Source organism: Homo sapiens, chromosome 1 (genome assembly GCF_000001405.40).
Source record: "Homo sapiens chromosome 1, GRCh38.p14 Primary Assembly".
In the NCBI taxonomy this organism is placed as follows: domain Eukaryota; kingdom Metazoa; phylum Chordata; class Mammalia; order Primates; family Hominidae; genus Homo; species Homo sapiens.
Window position 1 is genome coordinate 197,167,134 of NC_000001.11, and position 17,989 is coordinate 197,185,122.

The 17,989-nt window shown below is 32.7% G+C and overlaps 1 protein-coding gene across 5 annotated transcripts in view; it reads right to left on the reverse strand.

Moving 5' to 3' along the window:
* ZBTB41 (zinc finger and BTB domain containing 41) overlaps window positions 1-17,989 on the reverse strand; it is a 47,612-nt gene that overhangs the window by 13,452 nt on the left and 16,171 nt on the right. For 2 of the 5 annotated variants that reach the window (NM_194314.3, XM_047419671.1), the window contains exons 6-10: window positions 13,855-13,984; window positions 11,284-11,379; window positions 9,431-9,537; window positions 7,877-7,982; window positions 5,027-5,115 (exon numbers count right to left, since the gene is read on the reverse strand). In NM_194314.3, the coding sequence (NP_919290.2) occupies window positions 5,027-5,115; window positions 7,877-7,982; window positions 9,431-9,537; window positions 11,284-11,379; window positions 13,855-13,984 (528 nt within the window). Of the gene's footprint in view, window positions 1-456; window positions 785-5,026; window positions 5,116-7,876; window positions 7,983-8,793; window positions 8,882-9,430; window positions 9,538-11,283; window positions 11,380-13,854; window positions 13,985-17,989 lie in introns of those variants that run through there. The other 3 variants (NR_135153.2, XM_011509507.4, XM_017001205.3) reach the window with 3 other exon arrangements.

Sequence of the window (17,989 nt, forward strand, 5' to 3'; positions counted from 1 at the left end):
ATACAGGATAATATATCATGAACAGGATATATGTATGTGTATGTCTGTATATTTATGTGTTTGAATGTTTGTTTATTTTTGAGACAAGTTCTCACTCCATCACCCAGGCTGGAGTGCAGTGGTGCCATCCCAGCTCACTGCAGCCTCAATTTCCCCGGCTAGGTGATCCTCCCGCCTCTGCCTTTAGAGTAGCTCAGACTACAGGCATGCGCCACCACGCTTGGCTAATTTTTGGAATTTTTGTAGAGAAGGGGTTTTGCCATGTTTCCCAGGCTGGTCTTGAACTCCTGGGCTCAAGCAAATCATCCACCTCGACTTCCCAAAGCGCTGGGATTACAGGGGTTTGTGAGCCATCGCACCAAGCATGAACAGGATATATTATATCTTCAATACACCATGAACAGGATAAACAAGATAATATATCATTAGCAAGATACTATATCAAACCAGTCTGGGTTTATTCCAGAAATGAGGTTTAATATTCAAAAATCAATCAGTACAATTTACCACATAAATAAAAAAATATGATCACCTCAATCAATATAGAAAAAACATAAAATTCAACAACTATTCATGACAAAAACTCTAAATAAACTAGGGATAGTAATTTCCTTATCTGACTATCTACAAAAAACCTATAAAAAATATCATACTTAATTGTGAATTATTGAAAGCTTTTCCCTTGAAGATGAGAATAAGAAAATAATGTCTACTCTCAATGTTTCTACTGGAGATGTGACCAAAGCAATAATGTGACCGAAGCAACAAGGTTTACTTCCCAACCCTGAAAGACAGAGAGAGAGAGAGTGTGTGTTATAAAGACTAAAAAGGGGAAAATGAACCTGTCATTATTCACAGATAACTTGTTTGCATGCTTTGAAAGTTCAAAAAAAGCTAGGGGTAAACTATAAAATTTAATAGAAATTTAGCAAGGTCACTGGATAAAAAGTCAATAAACAAACTCAATTCTATTCCTGTATACCAGAAACAAATAAAAAATAAAATTAAAAAAAGGTCAAAATTTGATACAAAAATATCAAATACCTAGGCATAAATCTAATGCAAAATGTGTAAGATAGCTACACTAAAAACTACAAATCATCTTTGAAAAAAATCTAAACAAATTAATGGAGGTGTTCACAGACTGGATAATACGATGTTATAAAAAAAATCAGTTAAGGAAACGTTGACCACAGGTTCAATGAAATTCCAATAATTCCTAGCCAGTATTTTTGTGTGTGGAAATTAACAGACTATTTCTAAATTTATATAAAAATACAAAGGGACAAAAATAATAAACACATTTGAAACTAAAAAGTTGACAAACAAAGCACACATATATGATCACTTAATTTACAACAATATGCCAATGAAATGTAGTGAGAAAGGATCATCTTTCCAAAAAATAGCGCTAAAGCAATTGGATAACCATATGTTAAAAAAAGAACTTTCACCTTTACCTAATAACAAACAAAAACAAATTATAGAAAGTTCATGGATCTAGATAAGAAAGTTAAAATAAATCTTCTAGAAGGTAACCGCAAAAAATATTAATGACCTTGGGTTGAGCAAAAGTTTCTTAAAGAGGACACAAAAGAACTATAAAGAAAAAAATGGTACATGACGTCTTTAAACTTCAAAACCTTTGTTCATCAAAAGACATCATTAAGAGTGAAAAGGTAAGTCATAGAGGAGAAGGTATCTGTAATATATATATCCGGAATGTAGAAAGAATACCTACAAATCCATTAGAAAAAGACAGACACTCCAATTTTTAAAAATGAGTACAAGAATTAATCTAGTATTACACAAAAGTAGATATCCAAATGGCCAGTGAGCACAAGAACAGGTATTCAACATCAATACTCATCACAGAGGTGCAAATCGAAGCCATTCTCAGATAGTGCTACGTATCTATCAAATGGATTTAAAAAAAAAGTATCAAATGTTGGTGAAAATGTGAAGCAATTGAGATTCTCATATGTGGCTGCTGGTGGTGTAAACTGACACAATTACTTTGAAAAAACTACTTAGTAGTATCTCCTAAAGTAGAACATATGCATATCCTATGAGCCAGGAATCCTAGGGCCATGAATATATATAAGAGAAAAGAATGCATATGTGTATGAAAAGACATGGACAAGGATGTTCACAGCAGCTTTATTCCTAAGAGAACCAAGCAAATATAAACCAAGTATCCATAAAAGTAGAATGAATAAATTGTAACAGTCATATGAAGATGAAAATGAAAAGAAACAAATTACTGTCATAAGGGAATCCACACTTAATATTTATTAGGTAAAAGAATCCAGAAAAAAAAGATTACATACTACATGATTTCACTTATATGAAGTTCAAATAGACAAAATTAATTTTTGGTGCTATTAATATAAGTCAAAATAGTCATCATCTTTGCAAGGAGGTTACTGACTGGGAGGAGCCATAGAGAATCCTTCTGAAATCTTGGTAGTGTTTTAATATCTTGATCTGAGTCATGACTACATTGATGGATTCATTCATAAAAATTAATTGAACTGTTTGAGATTTGTGCACTTTGTGTGCTATACTTCAATAAAAAAAAGCTTACAAAGAAAATTCACCTTGAATAAAAAAATCAGTCAACATTAAAATCAAGTCCTAAATTTGTGGTCATCTTTATGCCAATTTAATGAATATGTTTCAACAAGACAACTGTTAAAGAATAGATGTAATCACTACATTCTGAGGATTGAACAAACAAAACTCATGATTAGAAAAAGCCATCTGTACAAGAAAATCTTATATACATTTTCCAACTAATTTATCTAACTGTGTGGTTTAAAAAAAATAAAATAGAGAAGAGTCATAGGAGAACATAATAAATTTATTTACTCAGCAAATATTTATTGAGTGCCAAACTCTTCAAAAGCCCTACGATATGCATTGATTGTACATACTTATTTGAAGCAATTAGGTGTACTGAACTGGCCAAAACTGAAACAAACACATTTTATTGTTTCTCCAGATGAGGATATGGAGAAAAGACATACTAACAGAAGAAAAAAGGTTATAGAGGAAATCTAGTTAAGGAAATTCTAAAAAACAAAAATTTAGCAATATATATATAATGAACTAAGGGTATCCCAACAAGGAAAAAAAAAATCTGAAGAACAAAATTTTTCTGGTCACCTGCTATGAGGGTAAGGATGGTTCAAAATCCTTCACCATTTCCTGGATAAACTATCCCATAAAATTACTATCTAATTTTACTCTATCTCTACATTTGGCAATTTTCCTTCTGATTAATAAACTCAGCAATTCTGCTTCCTTGATAAAGATACCCTAGCTAGTAAACATTAATATCTCATTTTCTAGAATGTAAATTAATGACATTCTGGCTAATCTATTCCCAGTGTTTACTGTGAAGAATTACTCACAATACTTATAACTCTCAATGCACAGATAAAATTGAGTCTCTGAACCTATAAATCTCAAAAATGGACTTGGGAACATGGTGACCATTTCTTGCAAAAGCCACTCTGTGAAGTCCTGTCTGGGTAGACTGTTGGTCACTTTAGATTGAGAGTTGGTAAATAGAGTTTTATTGGAATACAGGCATGCTTCATCTGTTTACACATTGTCTATGGCTGCTTTCACATCACAACAGCAGAGCTGAATGATTGTGACAGACTCTTAGTTGCAAAGCCTAAAACATTTACTATCTAGCCCTCAACAAGTATTTGCTGACTTTTGCCTTCTATTATTTTTCCCTCTCATTTCATAATAGCCATAGTCTTTGTCTTATTCCATCATAGAGCTAATGTCCTCAATTTTCAAAGGGCAGAGAGACTTGTCTTCTAATTCCAATTAACTGTGAAATATCCAGATATTGATGTTCCACATTGTCACTGGCCACCAGCCAATCACTATAAATCAGTGTTTTTAAAAATTTTGATGCAATGTAGTCAGCACTAAATTTCTACTCAAGTTGTACAGTTCTTAAATCATCAATGGTTTGAAATTAACTTTCTGTAAGTTCACCATCTCTTTCAAGTCATGAGTTCTATTAGGTTAATTATTTACAAAAGATATGGAAGATACCATCAAGTTCGTTTCCTCATTTTACACTTTTATTTATGCTCTCCCAAATTATGCCTTTTTTTATTTGGAGAGGGCTGTAACTTTGCTTTTAACAGCAGCACTGTATCAGTAGTAAATCCTTTACTGCAACTATTTGCTAATAATATTGCCCAAATTCAGTTATTTCCCATTCTAATATTTATGAAATCACTTATTTTTCTCTTCCAGAATAGCAGCTTGACAAAATCCGAATTGAATATAAAACAAAGCAGCCATAAATACATAAATGGGCTTGTTTCTTAAGGAAAACAAGGTTTTAAAAATGTTAATTTATATGTAAAGGCAAACAAGGATTCAGACAATATATAAGAAAGAATCTAACATATTCTGTATTTCAAAATGTAGTAACATTCCCAACGGAGAAAAAAGAAAGATTTTGCAAATGACAACTTCTGGAAAGCAGCTGAGGCAAAGCCTTTTACTATAACTACCTATAAATCATGACTGGCTATGTAAAAAGGAAAATGAAACGATGGTAACTTGGCAAACAAGACAATGAGGTCATATTTGCATTACTCTTTTAAAAGAGAAGAAAATAAAAGATAAAAAGGAATTTAATCTGAAGGCTTAAGAAAAGCCTTCAGAAAGCAAAATAAAGAAGAATCATAAAACAATCAGAAAAGGGAAAATTACAACTAAAAGTTGAGTAAATATCTTATGGAAAAAGTTTTCTCAAGTTTTGTAAAATATTTAAAAGTATTGAAGCTTACATAATAGAGAATAGAAGATGAGAATATTGTTCAGTCATGGCATGAACTTCAATATAATAAGTAAAAATCTTAATGGGGAAAACCAAAGAAATTTAACCAAGAACAACAAAGTTTAAATGCCTATATTTTACTTCTGATTACACTATATATATCTCTCTCTATATATATATATCTATGAACCACTCATTAAATTTTACCTGAATGCGTTCGAAAATGCATTTCCAGACTTGATTTGCCTTTAAAAATTTTCTTACAAACATCACATTGATGAAATGTTGCTTTATATCTAAGAAAATAAAAAGATTTGAGTTTTTCAATATAATTTTAATAACTATAATAAATATGACAATATTAATAATTATATTAATAACTAACATAATGAAAATAAGTTGCAACTTCATTTACAACTGTGTATATAATTCTCACATTAACAAAGTATAGAACTCCAAAGAAACATGGAAATACTTTTAATATGTTGAGCTTGCCTCTGGTTTTTCCTCTTCCAGTTACATCCAACAAACGAATCTATAAAAAGAGGTCTGTAGATTTTCAACTGCTTTAAGTCACTGAACTTTTATTATTACTAGCTATCCAAATATACAAAAAGAAAAATTATAAGGTAGAAACAGATCAAGAGTGGCCTAAAGGGGAAATGAAGAGTTGTCTAGAAAGGGACATGGCAGAAATTTTGTGGTGATGAAACTATTCCATATCTTAATTGTGGTGATGATTACATGACTTGCAGAATTATACACTAAAAAGAATGAATTTCACTTTCTGTAAATTACACCTTAACTAAATTTAAAAAATAGATGCTCAGGCTGATTAAAAAGAATCTGCGGCAATTTTAAAACCCGCATTTATCAAAAAGGTGAAATTGCTCTCATCAGTTCATGTCCTAACAAAAAAATTATAAATTTGAACTAATAAATAAAATTTTATACCTAAATTTAAAAATGAAATATTAGTCCTTTATTTTTACTACAAAATAATAGACAGAAATAAAGCAATAAGTTACCGAAAAGTTAACTTAGTAAGCACCACAGCATAGTGCCTAAGAAGTGTCTTTGAGTTAAACAGTTCTCAACTGAAAATTTTATTGTGAGAATTGAGATATTTACAAAATAATTATCATTTAAGTGGCAGTTATTGAGAAAGCCATACCATCTCACCTCAGAAGCAATTCATATGGAATGAATACATGGCAAAATAATTAAATCAAACCTGGGCTACTTAATCTTCTGTAAAACAGTTTGCTCTTAACATATCCATTGAGTTTTACTGGAAATGTTTAGAACATTGTTACCAATACGAAATACCAACATACTATGCCTAGGATTTTAAATGTCCCTCATTTTTCAATTCATCCAACCCAACATTTATAAGACAACATAAAAAGCACTGTCCTAGATGAACTTAATTCTACTTGATGAAACAGATGGTTGTTTTAATTTTTGTTAGAGACAGGGTCTTGTTCTGTCACCCAGACTAGGTTGCAGCAGCATCATAATAGCTCACTGCAGCCTTGAACTCCTGGGCTCAAGCTATCCTTCTGCCTCAGCCTCCTGAGTAGCTGAGACTACAGGTACATGCCACCACACCCAGATAATTTATTTTCTTTTATTGTTTTGTAGAGACAGGGTCTCACTTTGTTGCCCAGGCTGGTGTCAAACTCCTGAAACAAACATTTACACAGATAATTTGGATTTTGTGAATTGAGGTTGTGAATAATAACCCTGGCAAAAGACTCCTAACCAGTATGCTTGGTTTACCTTATTCCATTCATATCCATGGTAAATATAAACAGAGATACAAACAGGGTCACCATGGGCACATAGAGAAAGAGGAAGTAGTACTCGACTGGGGGCAATTTTGCCCCCCATAAAACATGTGGCAATGCCTGAAAACGTTTTTGTTTTTCACATCTGGGGATACGATAATAAGTGCTACTGGCATATAATGGGTAGAAGCCATGAATATTGAGAAACGTCCTACAATACACAAGAAAAGAATTACTTGGTCCAAAATGTCAACAGTGTTTGGGCTGAGAAACCTTGCTCTATACTATGAACAAAGTGATATTTTCAACATAAATATGTACAAAACACTTTAACTTCCTCACAGTGGACTTAAGATAAATTCTGTAGGGCCTTGCATGGCTAAGACCCTATGAAAATATACCTTGCAATTACCACATGGATGCTAAGCCATACAGATTTTCAAGGAAGGAGAGGATAAACAATTTGAACTGAAGCAGAGATGTCAGTAAAAAAAGAACTTAAAAATGCCTATTGATTTGGCAACAAGGAAGTCATACTGATAACTGAGCAGAATAAGATCAGAGGTCAGATTGCAACAGTGGCTGGAATGTGAAGTGGTTACTGAGGTAGTCACCATAAAAAAGTTTAGAAGCAAAGATTAGAAAAATAATTGGTGGTTGGAGGCGTGTTAATCCTATGTACATTTTGCTAATTATGCTCAGGACTATTAAGTGAAGTCTCTTGGCACTTTAGAACATGTCTGTTGTTTATCATTTGCCCAAATGCCTAACCCCAAAACATGAATTACTTGAATGTTTTACACTTAGCAACTAACCTCAGTTAAACTTGGATATCTAAATTATACTAAAAAGCTGATGTTCAAGATAGCACACAGCGCCTTCAAATAAAATAATATTTTAAATGCTTAGTATGATTAGAAACAAGTTTAAATTCTGACTGCAAACATTTCCTAACAACTGCTGTCTTATTAAGTATAATATATAGGCAGTATATTTAGCTCTCAAAGAGCCTCAGCAACCAAATGCCAAGATTTTTTATTAATTATTGTTAACTTGCATGTCACCTCCCTGGCCTTTGAATTAACTGAAAACAAGGAGGAAAATATATGCTTGCTGAATTCTTTTAGGTCTATAGAGATGCTACAGAATGTAGAGAAAGAGAACTGGTTAACCTAACTTCAATTAAACAAAGTAAACAAAAAAAGTTACAACTTTCCTCAGAGACTTAGCCAATGTAAACTATGAGACATTTTGCTTTTTCACTTACTTTTGCCACACTTTCTCTCCAAGGTGTACGCTTTTGTAATGAACAGTGAGATGATCCCTACGACCAAAACATTTTCCACATTCTTCACACTGATGAGCTTTTTCACCTTAAAATAAAGACCCAAATATTTTCATTATAATATACATCTCAGGTTTTTATCCCCAGAAACAAACTATCAAACAGTAAGATCACATGATGTCAAATATAACAGGAAAGTAAAGCCACATTTTATTCTGCACTATTTGCTTTATATTCCTTACTCAAATAACTTTCTTCAAAAAATGTATGCTTAATTTCATGGATGTGAATCTTTTCCCCGCTTGGAAAAGGAATCAATAGCCTTTTGTTGAACACTTCAAATCATACATTTCAATGTAACAGAGCAAGATAAACGAAACTACTTCAAAACTTAGGAATTTTAAATATATATATATATATATGTCTGTATATCAAACACCTCAAATTGATATACATTAAATTAAGATGAGGGTGTCTTACTGTTTATAAAAAGGACCCAAACATTTTCAGATCTTTGTACTTTACTTTTAGAAGATTTTTCATCTGTGAGGATTTCTTACGTTTGCAATGAGCCAAAATACAAATATAATGAAAAATTCTACGTAAGTCCAATTTCTCATCTCTATTCTTACATTTACTTACAAAGGCTTGGTTTTAAAAAACAATTACTGTCTCAATACCAGTGTGCAATTAAAGCATGTGGCCTCTAGACTTAGAAATTAAGAATTCTCCTCATAAAAATAAAAAGGCATAATTCCAATGGAAAAAGTCATCAGATTTTTAGTATCTGTTAGAAGTGGTGAAAACAACTGCAACCTATCTCATTGAGATCATCTCAGAAAATTACTATCTGTTGCATACTTTATATTCAAAAATTATGTTTAAAATAATAATAATAATCACCTGTTCTACCGTGCTCATAGAGATGGCTCTTTCCCATTATTGTGCTCACAGAGTTGGCTCTCTTAGCACTTCCTGAACATCAATCTGAGAGGAAAATATGAAAGAAATCCCCAGAATATAAAAATTATACAGTATAAAGATCTGAAATTGGTCAGGATTATTAAGGTACTCTTCTCCAAAGACAGGGTTTCAAAATTCACTATAATATACACTTTTAGCACCTAATTTTAATCATTTCCCTTTTAATATGTAAGTTTCACCAACTTCTTCTCAAATCCAATCAAAATGAGAAAAATTATCATGGCTTCTCCCTTTAAGGAACTGTCAATAGCAATTATTAGATATATCCATGTAATATGCAAAATGCAAATTTTGAGAATTTATTTAAAATTAAACTTTACACTTTATAGTCACAAAGGGTTACCAAATAATTAAAATTACAGTGAATATGTCATAAACTTATGTCCCTTTTGGATGCTTTTTAAAAAATGTTTTCAGAACCAGAATTACAAAGAAGTGATGAGCATAAACCAAATTATTAAACTTATAGCCAACATAAACATAACATCATATTATGTTCCTTTCAGGTATTTAAAAAGGATTTTCGAACTAGCATTACAAAATATGGTATACCTGAATGTATTTTTTTGTGCTTTGTAAGGTGATCATGACGGATAAATGTTTTTCCACATTCATCGCACTCATATCTTTTATCATCATGATGTACTCGTAAGTGAAGTCTATAAAGAAAAAAGAATTGAACACCATTAAAACTGGTGACATAGAAGGAAAAAGCTCAATAATGAATAAATGATGAATAAACAATGAAAACTGGGCTGTCTACTCAACCACTCATACATTATTGGCTTTATTTCTATGACTTTCAGAGTCCTTTTCAGTCTTTTACCACCTGACCCCAGGTCCCTACTCATCTCTTTCAAGAAAGCATTTCAACATTTGTATATGCTCAAACCACTTCTCAACATTATTCCTTCCCATCATATTAGATCCTAAATCTAGTTCACTGAATCTATCAAATGTCTAAGGTTATTATCTAGCTGACTGGCCAAGACTCAAAAATATAAAAAGTAGGAGTAATCAGAAAGGAATTAGAATCAGACAAATGAAGTAAGTGTACAAGTGACTAGGCATATCATGATGATAGCAAATGATACAGTAAATGGTATGGTTTGGCTCTGTGTTCCCACCCAAATCTCATCTCAAATTGTAATCCCCACATATTGAAGGAGGGACCTGGTGGCAGGTAACTGGATCATGGGGGCAGTTTCCCCATGCTGTTCTTGTAACAGTCAGTGAGTTCTCACAAGATCTGATGCTTTAAAAGTGTTCCAGCAGTTGCCCCTACTCTCTCTTTCTCCTGCTTCGCCTAGGTAAGACGTGCCTTGCTTGCACCTTCACATACCGCCATGATTCTAAGTTTCCTGAGGCCTTCCCAGCCATGCGGAACTGTGAGTCAATTAAATCCTTTTTCTTTGTAAGTTACCCAGTCTCAAGTATGTCTTTATAGCAGTGTGAAAACAGACTAATAGAGCAAATAATGGAGAATCTGTCCTATTCTGGATAATTGTTATCAACTACAAACTGATATTTAAGAATTTTCTTTTCTAAGAACTCAACTTTATGAAAATTACATCTTACTGCTTTTCTTCACACCAATAGAACAAAATGGGGCTCATTTTATAGTCACCCAAAGACAGTATAAAAGGCTCAGATTATTAAGATTAATTTAACTTGAATTACTTTTATCTCCAGAGCCTCTCTCTCTATATATATTCTAATGAAAGGAATAGCTTTCCCTTGCAAATTGCCAAAATAAGTGTTGATTTTACCAAGACCAACTGACTAGACTACCTCTAAAGGGGAAGTATTCAATTTAAACTTAAAGCAAGATAAATAATAAATGAAAGTGTATATATTAAAGCCTTGTAACATTTTAATAAAAATTAAAATTGTACACACATTTCAGAAGTAGTTACATATTATTTATTTAGAAAAAAACTTTTCATAAACTGCAAATATGGTCAAGGATTCAACCACAGAAATAACTAAATAAGTTATAATCACTATTAATGCACAGAAGACTTTTGAAAATTGAGAATGGGGAGTTTTTTACTTTGTCTTACTTTCATATTAAAATGTTCTTTGATAGTAAAGAGTGGAGAAATACACTAAGTTTAACTGACTTTTCATTCAGAGAAAAGTAATGAAATAAATATTTAAATAATGCCTTAGTAAAGCCTTCTGCAAACTTGGTGTGAGAAAATATTTAATAATATTTTATACCACAGAATAAAGATAATAAAATGTTTAGTAAAAAAAAAATCTATGCAGTAAAGTTTTTGCACAACTTTGCATATCATAAGGACTAAGAAATGTTTCAATTCAACAAAGTAATAAGAAAATAGAACTAAAATAGAGATATAATTCTATCTTACTTAATAAAGGGAAAAAATGGTTTTACTTACCTATACGAACTTCCATGACGAAAACTTTGCCCACAAATACTACAAAGGTGAGGCTTTTCTCCACTGTGGATTCTCAAATGTTCTTTCAAAGTAGTTCTGCATTAAAATATATAGATTCGAGATTTTTTAAATGCCTATATATAGTAAATAGATTTCTGGAAAACTTACTAGAAAGGTATTCAAGCTAACTGATATTATGGCAATTCTCTCCTCTTTCTTACAATAATTTTGTTCTTTTCTATTCTCACTAGTATACAAACATGCTTGTTATAGCTCTCTCTCCTTAAAAACAAAAAATACTTCGGCCTCATTTGCCATTGGTTTGCTCAGAGATTTAATTACACAACTTAAGCAGACTTTCAAGAAGTATAATTTTAAAATGCTCATTATGACACTGAATTAAGTTGATGTGAATTTTGATAGAGAGGGTTTAATAATATTTAAGTAATCCAGTTTATCAGTACTATTTCTTCCAAATATGTGCTTAGTATTTATTGAAAAAATGTTTTAAAGCAAAGAAAATGTTGTAGTATTTCTAACTTCCAGGTGCTGATGTGAAAAAGGAACCTATATACAGAATGTAATTATTGCTATTCCTAAGTCTTCCAGCCCCACTGGCCCTGGATGGGCTACTATGAAACCATTACTCCTCAAAGTACATCACTAGCAATTCCTACAGTTCTAACCTTCAGAGCTTCCCCACATATCTAAAGTGCTGAGTAATAATGAACAAAGTTATTTTAAGGGGAAATAAAGTGAAAGGGAAATATGACTGACCTCTGCAGGCTTTTAGCTATCACTACTACAGTCATGTACTGCATAATGACATTTCAATCAATGACAGACCACATAAACAATGCTGTCCCATAAGATTACAACGGAGCTACACAATTCCTATAACCTAGTGGCATCATAGCACAATACATTACTCACATGTTTGTGGTGATGCTGTTGTAGACAAACATACTACATTGCCAACTGTATATAGGCATAGCACATACAATTGTGTCCAGTACATAATTATTGATAATGATAAGCGACTATGTTACTGGTATGTATTTACTATACTTTTTATCATGATTTAGAGTGTACTTCTTCTACTTATTAAAAAAAAAAGAAAACTAACTGTAAAACAGCCTCAGCCAAGTCCTTCTAGAGGTATTCTCTAAGAAGGCATGGTTACCATAGGACATGACAGCTCTATGCATGTACTGTCCCTGAAGACCTTCCAGTGGGACAAGATGTGCAGGTGGAAGACAGTGATATTGATGATCCTGACCCTGTGTAGGCCTAGGCTAATGTTTGTGTTTGTGTCTTTTGTTTTTAACCAAAAAAAAGTTTAAAAAGTAAAACATAAAAAATTTAAAAATATAAAAAAGCTTATAGAAAATAAAATATCTTTATGCAGCTGTACAATGTGTGTTTTAAGCTAAGTGTTACTTTAAATGAGTAAGAAGGTTGAAAAAATCAAAAGTTTATAAAATAAAAATGTTACAGTAAGCTGCTGTTCATTTGAGGGAAAAAATTTTAATACATTTAGTGAAACCTAAATGTACAGTGTTTATAAAGTCTACATTAGTGTACACTAATGTCCGCGGCCTTCACATTCACTCACCACTCACTCACTGACTCCCCTAGAGAAACTTCTAGTCCTGCAAGCTCTACTCATGATCGGTAACCTACACAAACACATATATTCTTTTTTATATTTTATACCATTTTTACAGTTCTTTTTCCATGCTTAAGTATGTTTAAATATATCAACACTTACCACTGTGTTACAATTATCTACAGTATTCACTACAGTAACATGCTATACAGGTTTGTAGCCTGGGAGCAATGGGCTGGCTAAACCACATAGCCTACATGTGTAGTAGGCTATACCATCTAGGTTTGCATAAGTACACTCTATATTTGTGTGATGACAAAACTGCTTAACAATGCATTTCTCCGAACATAGCACTATCATTAAGCGGCGCATGACTGTACTTGGTTTGTATTTCAATCCCATACCTAGTAAGTTTAAAGGATGAATCTGAAATAAAAGTAGAGTTTTGCCAGTAGATGGTGCTCTTCTACAAGGCCCACCAATATGACAGTCTGTAGATAACACCCAGCTTTGTGGAAAATATCTCTAAAGATATTCCCAGATCCCTACCTGTTAAATAGTTATAGTAAAAGATGGAAAGGTTATCTTTGGGATTCTTGTTTTGCCTTGATCCATCTGTTTTATAGCTTCCAAACCTGTGTCATTCATGTTACATTTCTGTTCTCCCTATCTTTGTAGCTTATTCTTTTTAAAAAACAAACAAAAACCCTTAATCTAGTTTTAGTGGGGTTTCAGAAAGACATAAAATATGTACATTAAATCATCCATCTAAAACCTGCAAATCTTGAATCCATGTCATCTTCCATAACATTTGTGTAATTCCTTTTTTCCTTATATTTCAAACTAAAGCACAATTCATGCATTTTGTGTCTTATGTTACCCTAATTCCTATAAATCATATTGATTGATTATTTCTACATAATAGTACTAGGATTTTTGTGGGTGTGCAGATAATTCTTCACCTTTCTCGTACTGATTTTCCACAGATAAAGCAAGTCCATTTTCTCTTTCCACCATGAGTACATTCTATATGACGTTTCAAATTTCCAGTGTCGTTAAACTGGCGACCACATATATCACATGGAAAAGGACCTAAAAAGGAAAAAAAAAAAGTGTGCATTTAAAGTTTAAAGAGGAGATACTAAGTTAAATTTAATAGGTATGCTGTAAGTTCATGCCTATCCTATTGGTGCATATGTCATAATACACTGCAATTTCTCTTCTAGGTTATTTATTCCTAGAATAACATTTCCATATCCCTATAACCAAGTATAGGGCTCAGCATCTAACAAACAGAATGAATGCTGAACAAACTAATGAGTTAACAAATTGAAATGGCCAATTCCTGGTTTGAAATCAGACTGGAACAAAGTAGAAATGGCTGCATACTAAAGTTTTTGGGAAAGCGGGTAATAAAAAACTTTGGAAGAATGAATGGAGGACTTAAGAGAGTTTATAGTTTGGAAATATTTCTATTTGGTGATACAAAATTAAGCCCAGGCCTCTCATAGTAACACTGACATTAGTTGGATACTGAATTTCACTATGATTTTACCAAATAAAAAACTGGAGACAAGACAGTGTTCTACTGACTGACAAAATATAAGAAAGACAAAGAATGCGTAAAAAAGAAGTTTAGTAAATACAGCTCAAAGAAGCTATATATTAGCAAGAAGATGTCTCAGTATATGGAAGGACAAACTGAAGAAAGAATTCTAATGAATTAATCATAATAGCACAATGGAAAGAAAATAGAATTAAGATGCTGAAATTCAGAAACGTAACTATAAGCAAAATTGCTTGGTAGCCACAGTAGCTCTGGGTAAATTTCAATGTGTTTTACACATTAGAAATGAGAGATGACCTCAAAATGTACATTGTATTAAGTATCTTTAATGGATTCTCATTTAAAACCTCTAATATTTCATTTTTCATGGGATCTAAATATTTTACTCATTTATTAACTCATTCAACAAGTATTTATTTATTCTTAATTCACATCAAGCACTGTGTTAAGTATTATGAAAAATCTCTCCACCTCCTCTGAACCAAAAAAAGGCTCTAAGAAATTGAGAAAACGAAAGTCAGTACTTACATAGCTGAAAAAAAAAGGTGAAGTAAATACACGTGCCAAAATAAGGTTATTATGCAAAATGTGTGGTTAGTCAAAGAATGAAATATCTACTAGTAAAACTTTTTATAAAATATGACTATCTGTATAGCTGGCGGCTTCAGCTGGGCAAAGGAAGAAATGAAGCATTCTCTTTAATGTTCAGTTACTTATCAGGATTCTTCAAAGAAAATAACAACTGCATTTTTTTCCTATACTGGATATCCAGTTTTGCATGCAGCTAAACCTATTTTAAACAACCTCCTGGGCTCAAGCAATCCTTCCACTTCAGCCTCCCCTCTTTTATTTATTTATTTTTTCTATATAGACAGTATCTCACTAGGTTGCCCAGGCTGGTCTCAAACTCCTGGGCTCAAGTGATCCTCCCACCTGTCTCCCAAAGTGCTGAGATTACAGACGTGAGTCACCATGCCTGGCCAAGTTCTGACTTTTAAAAGCCAAACTACAACTTTTGCACATATATATTCATATATATTAAAAATTCTTCTCCTTTAACTGTTCAGATTGCATTAAATACATATCTTTCCCTCTGATTTAACAGAATATATATTCCTAATGTAGACAGTATGAGTATTGCTTTGAATAATCTAAAGCAGTCATTATCAAAATGTGATATCTAGACCATTTGCACCAGCACTACCTGGGAACTTGTGCAAATTGCAAACTGTACAAGTTCCAAATGCAAATACAAATTTGGGGCCATACGCCAGACCTATCTGAGTCAGACACTCTGGGAAATCCGTTTTAATAAGGTCTCCAGGTGCTTGTGATATATACCAAACTGCATGAAGCACTTATCTGAAGTGTACAGTGATTCAAGGGAACAGAAACATAGAGACGGAATGCAAAAGAAGCTCTCTCTATATATATATAATATTGCTTTGAGTATTTTATATATGCATGTATACATATATGTATACATATGTACACACACACAAATACAGAAAATACTTATAACAATACTCTATTTGGTTTATTAATAATAGTGGCCCAAAATGCAAAGCTACTATGTCACAAACCATATTTCTCAAAGGTCTTGGAAAGACTGAAAACTATAATACTAGAAATGACAATACATTCAGAGAAAGAGAATGAAAACTATGCCTGGCTCTACATTTGGCACTTATACAGTACCTCATATAATCCTCACAACAGTATCTAAGAAGTACGTATTAACTTCATTTTAACAAATGAGGAAACTGGAAGTCTGAGAGGCTGTTCCAGATCACCTAGTAAGTGGCTAAGTCAGACTCAGAAAACAAGGCTGGCTAGAAAGTCTTCTACTTCCACTTCTACATCATGCCACACCTATTAAACTTTTTCTTCTAGTAAATGTCAACCTAACCCAGTAAATGTCAACTCTTATTAAAAATCATACAAATTACCTAATCAGTTGTAAAATATTTGTGGGTGTACAGTAGTAAAATGTAATGATTTATTTACTAGTTAGATTACCTATTGCGCCGTAATTTAATTTGGCAGAAATAGTATCCCCAGATCCTAACACAGAGCTGATCATACATTTAGCAGTTGCTCCATAAATATTTACTATTTTGAATGTCGAATGTACTTTCCTTGTATATTTTCCGCCATGAACATTAGATAGCAGGGGAGCTAAGCCTTACTGCCTAACATTTCTGGAACACCTCTCATTATTGGTATGCTGCAGCATGATAGAAGAATCTCTTAACAAGTCATAAAAATCTTCCAGTTCAACCACTTCTGAAGAATGCCCTCTTCACCAGCTCTAACAGTTAGTAAGGTAAGTTCAGCATATGCTTGTATACTTGTATAATTTCACTGATGGGAAAGTAACTATTGTGTAAGACAAGTTACTTTAGTTTGTAAGTTCCAACACTTAAAAAGTTATTATAGTTCCCTCTGATGTTTCTACAAGGTAGAACCAAAAAGATTACCTAAAATTTTCAAATCAAAAAGAAGGAAGTGCACCAATTCTCCAATAAAAACTACTTTTTCTGGAACTAAACTCTAAAGAAATTTCTCCCATGAAACAGAATCATGAACATGTCAACTACAGTTTGGTAACTATAAAAACTGTTTCTACATGATGGCTTCTTAGAAGTGCTGAAACTGAATACTATGAAAGAACAACTTAGTAAAGGCAATTTGGAGAGATTAAGCTTCAGGTAAATAATCTTCCAACATATACTAGTCTTATATACTAGACTCACAAAGATTAAGAATCCCTTGTTGCGCAATAGTGCCTTGAAAGTATTTGAAGACAGCTGCTCTATCTTCCTTTCCCAGACAAAAAATTTCAAGGACCATGTTTTTCACATGATAAGATTTCAAGACTCTACATCACCAAAATTACCCATCTCTAAAATATATATTTGTCAATATCCATCTTAAATGTGGTATACAGAAATGAATGCAATTTTCCAGATCAATTCAAAATCAGACTATTATTTCCCTAATTCTGAAAAATACACTTTTATTAATATAGTTTAAAACTACATTTGTTTTGTAAATCATATCACATTATTGGTTCACACTGTGTCCAAAAAGCCTCTGCCTTTAAGATCATCTGTAAAGTGAGTAGTTTGGATGATAAACTATTTTATAGTTCTTAAAGACTTAATGACTAAAAGTCAGATCACTTCCTTAAGTTTACAACTATTTATTTATTTATTTATTTATTTATTTATATTTTTGAGACAGAATTTCGCTCTTGTTGCCCAGGCTGGTGTGCAATAGCGCGATCTTGACTCACCACAACCTCCGCCTCTTGGGTTCAAGCTATTCTCCTGCCTCAGCCTCCTGAGTAGCTGGGATTACAGGCGTCCGCCACCACGCCCAGCTAATTTTGTATTTTTAGTAGAGTCAAGGTTTCTCCATGTTGGTCAGGCTAGTCTCGAACTCCTGACCTCAGGTGATCTGCCAGCTTTGGCCTCCCAAAGTGCTGGCATTACAGGCGTGAGTCACCGCACACAGCCTAACTTTGT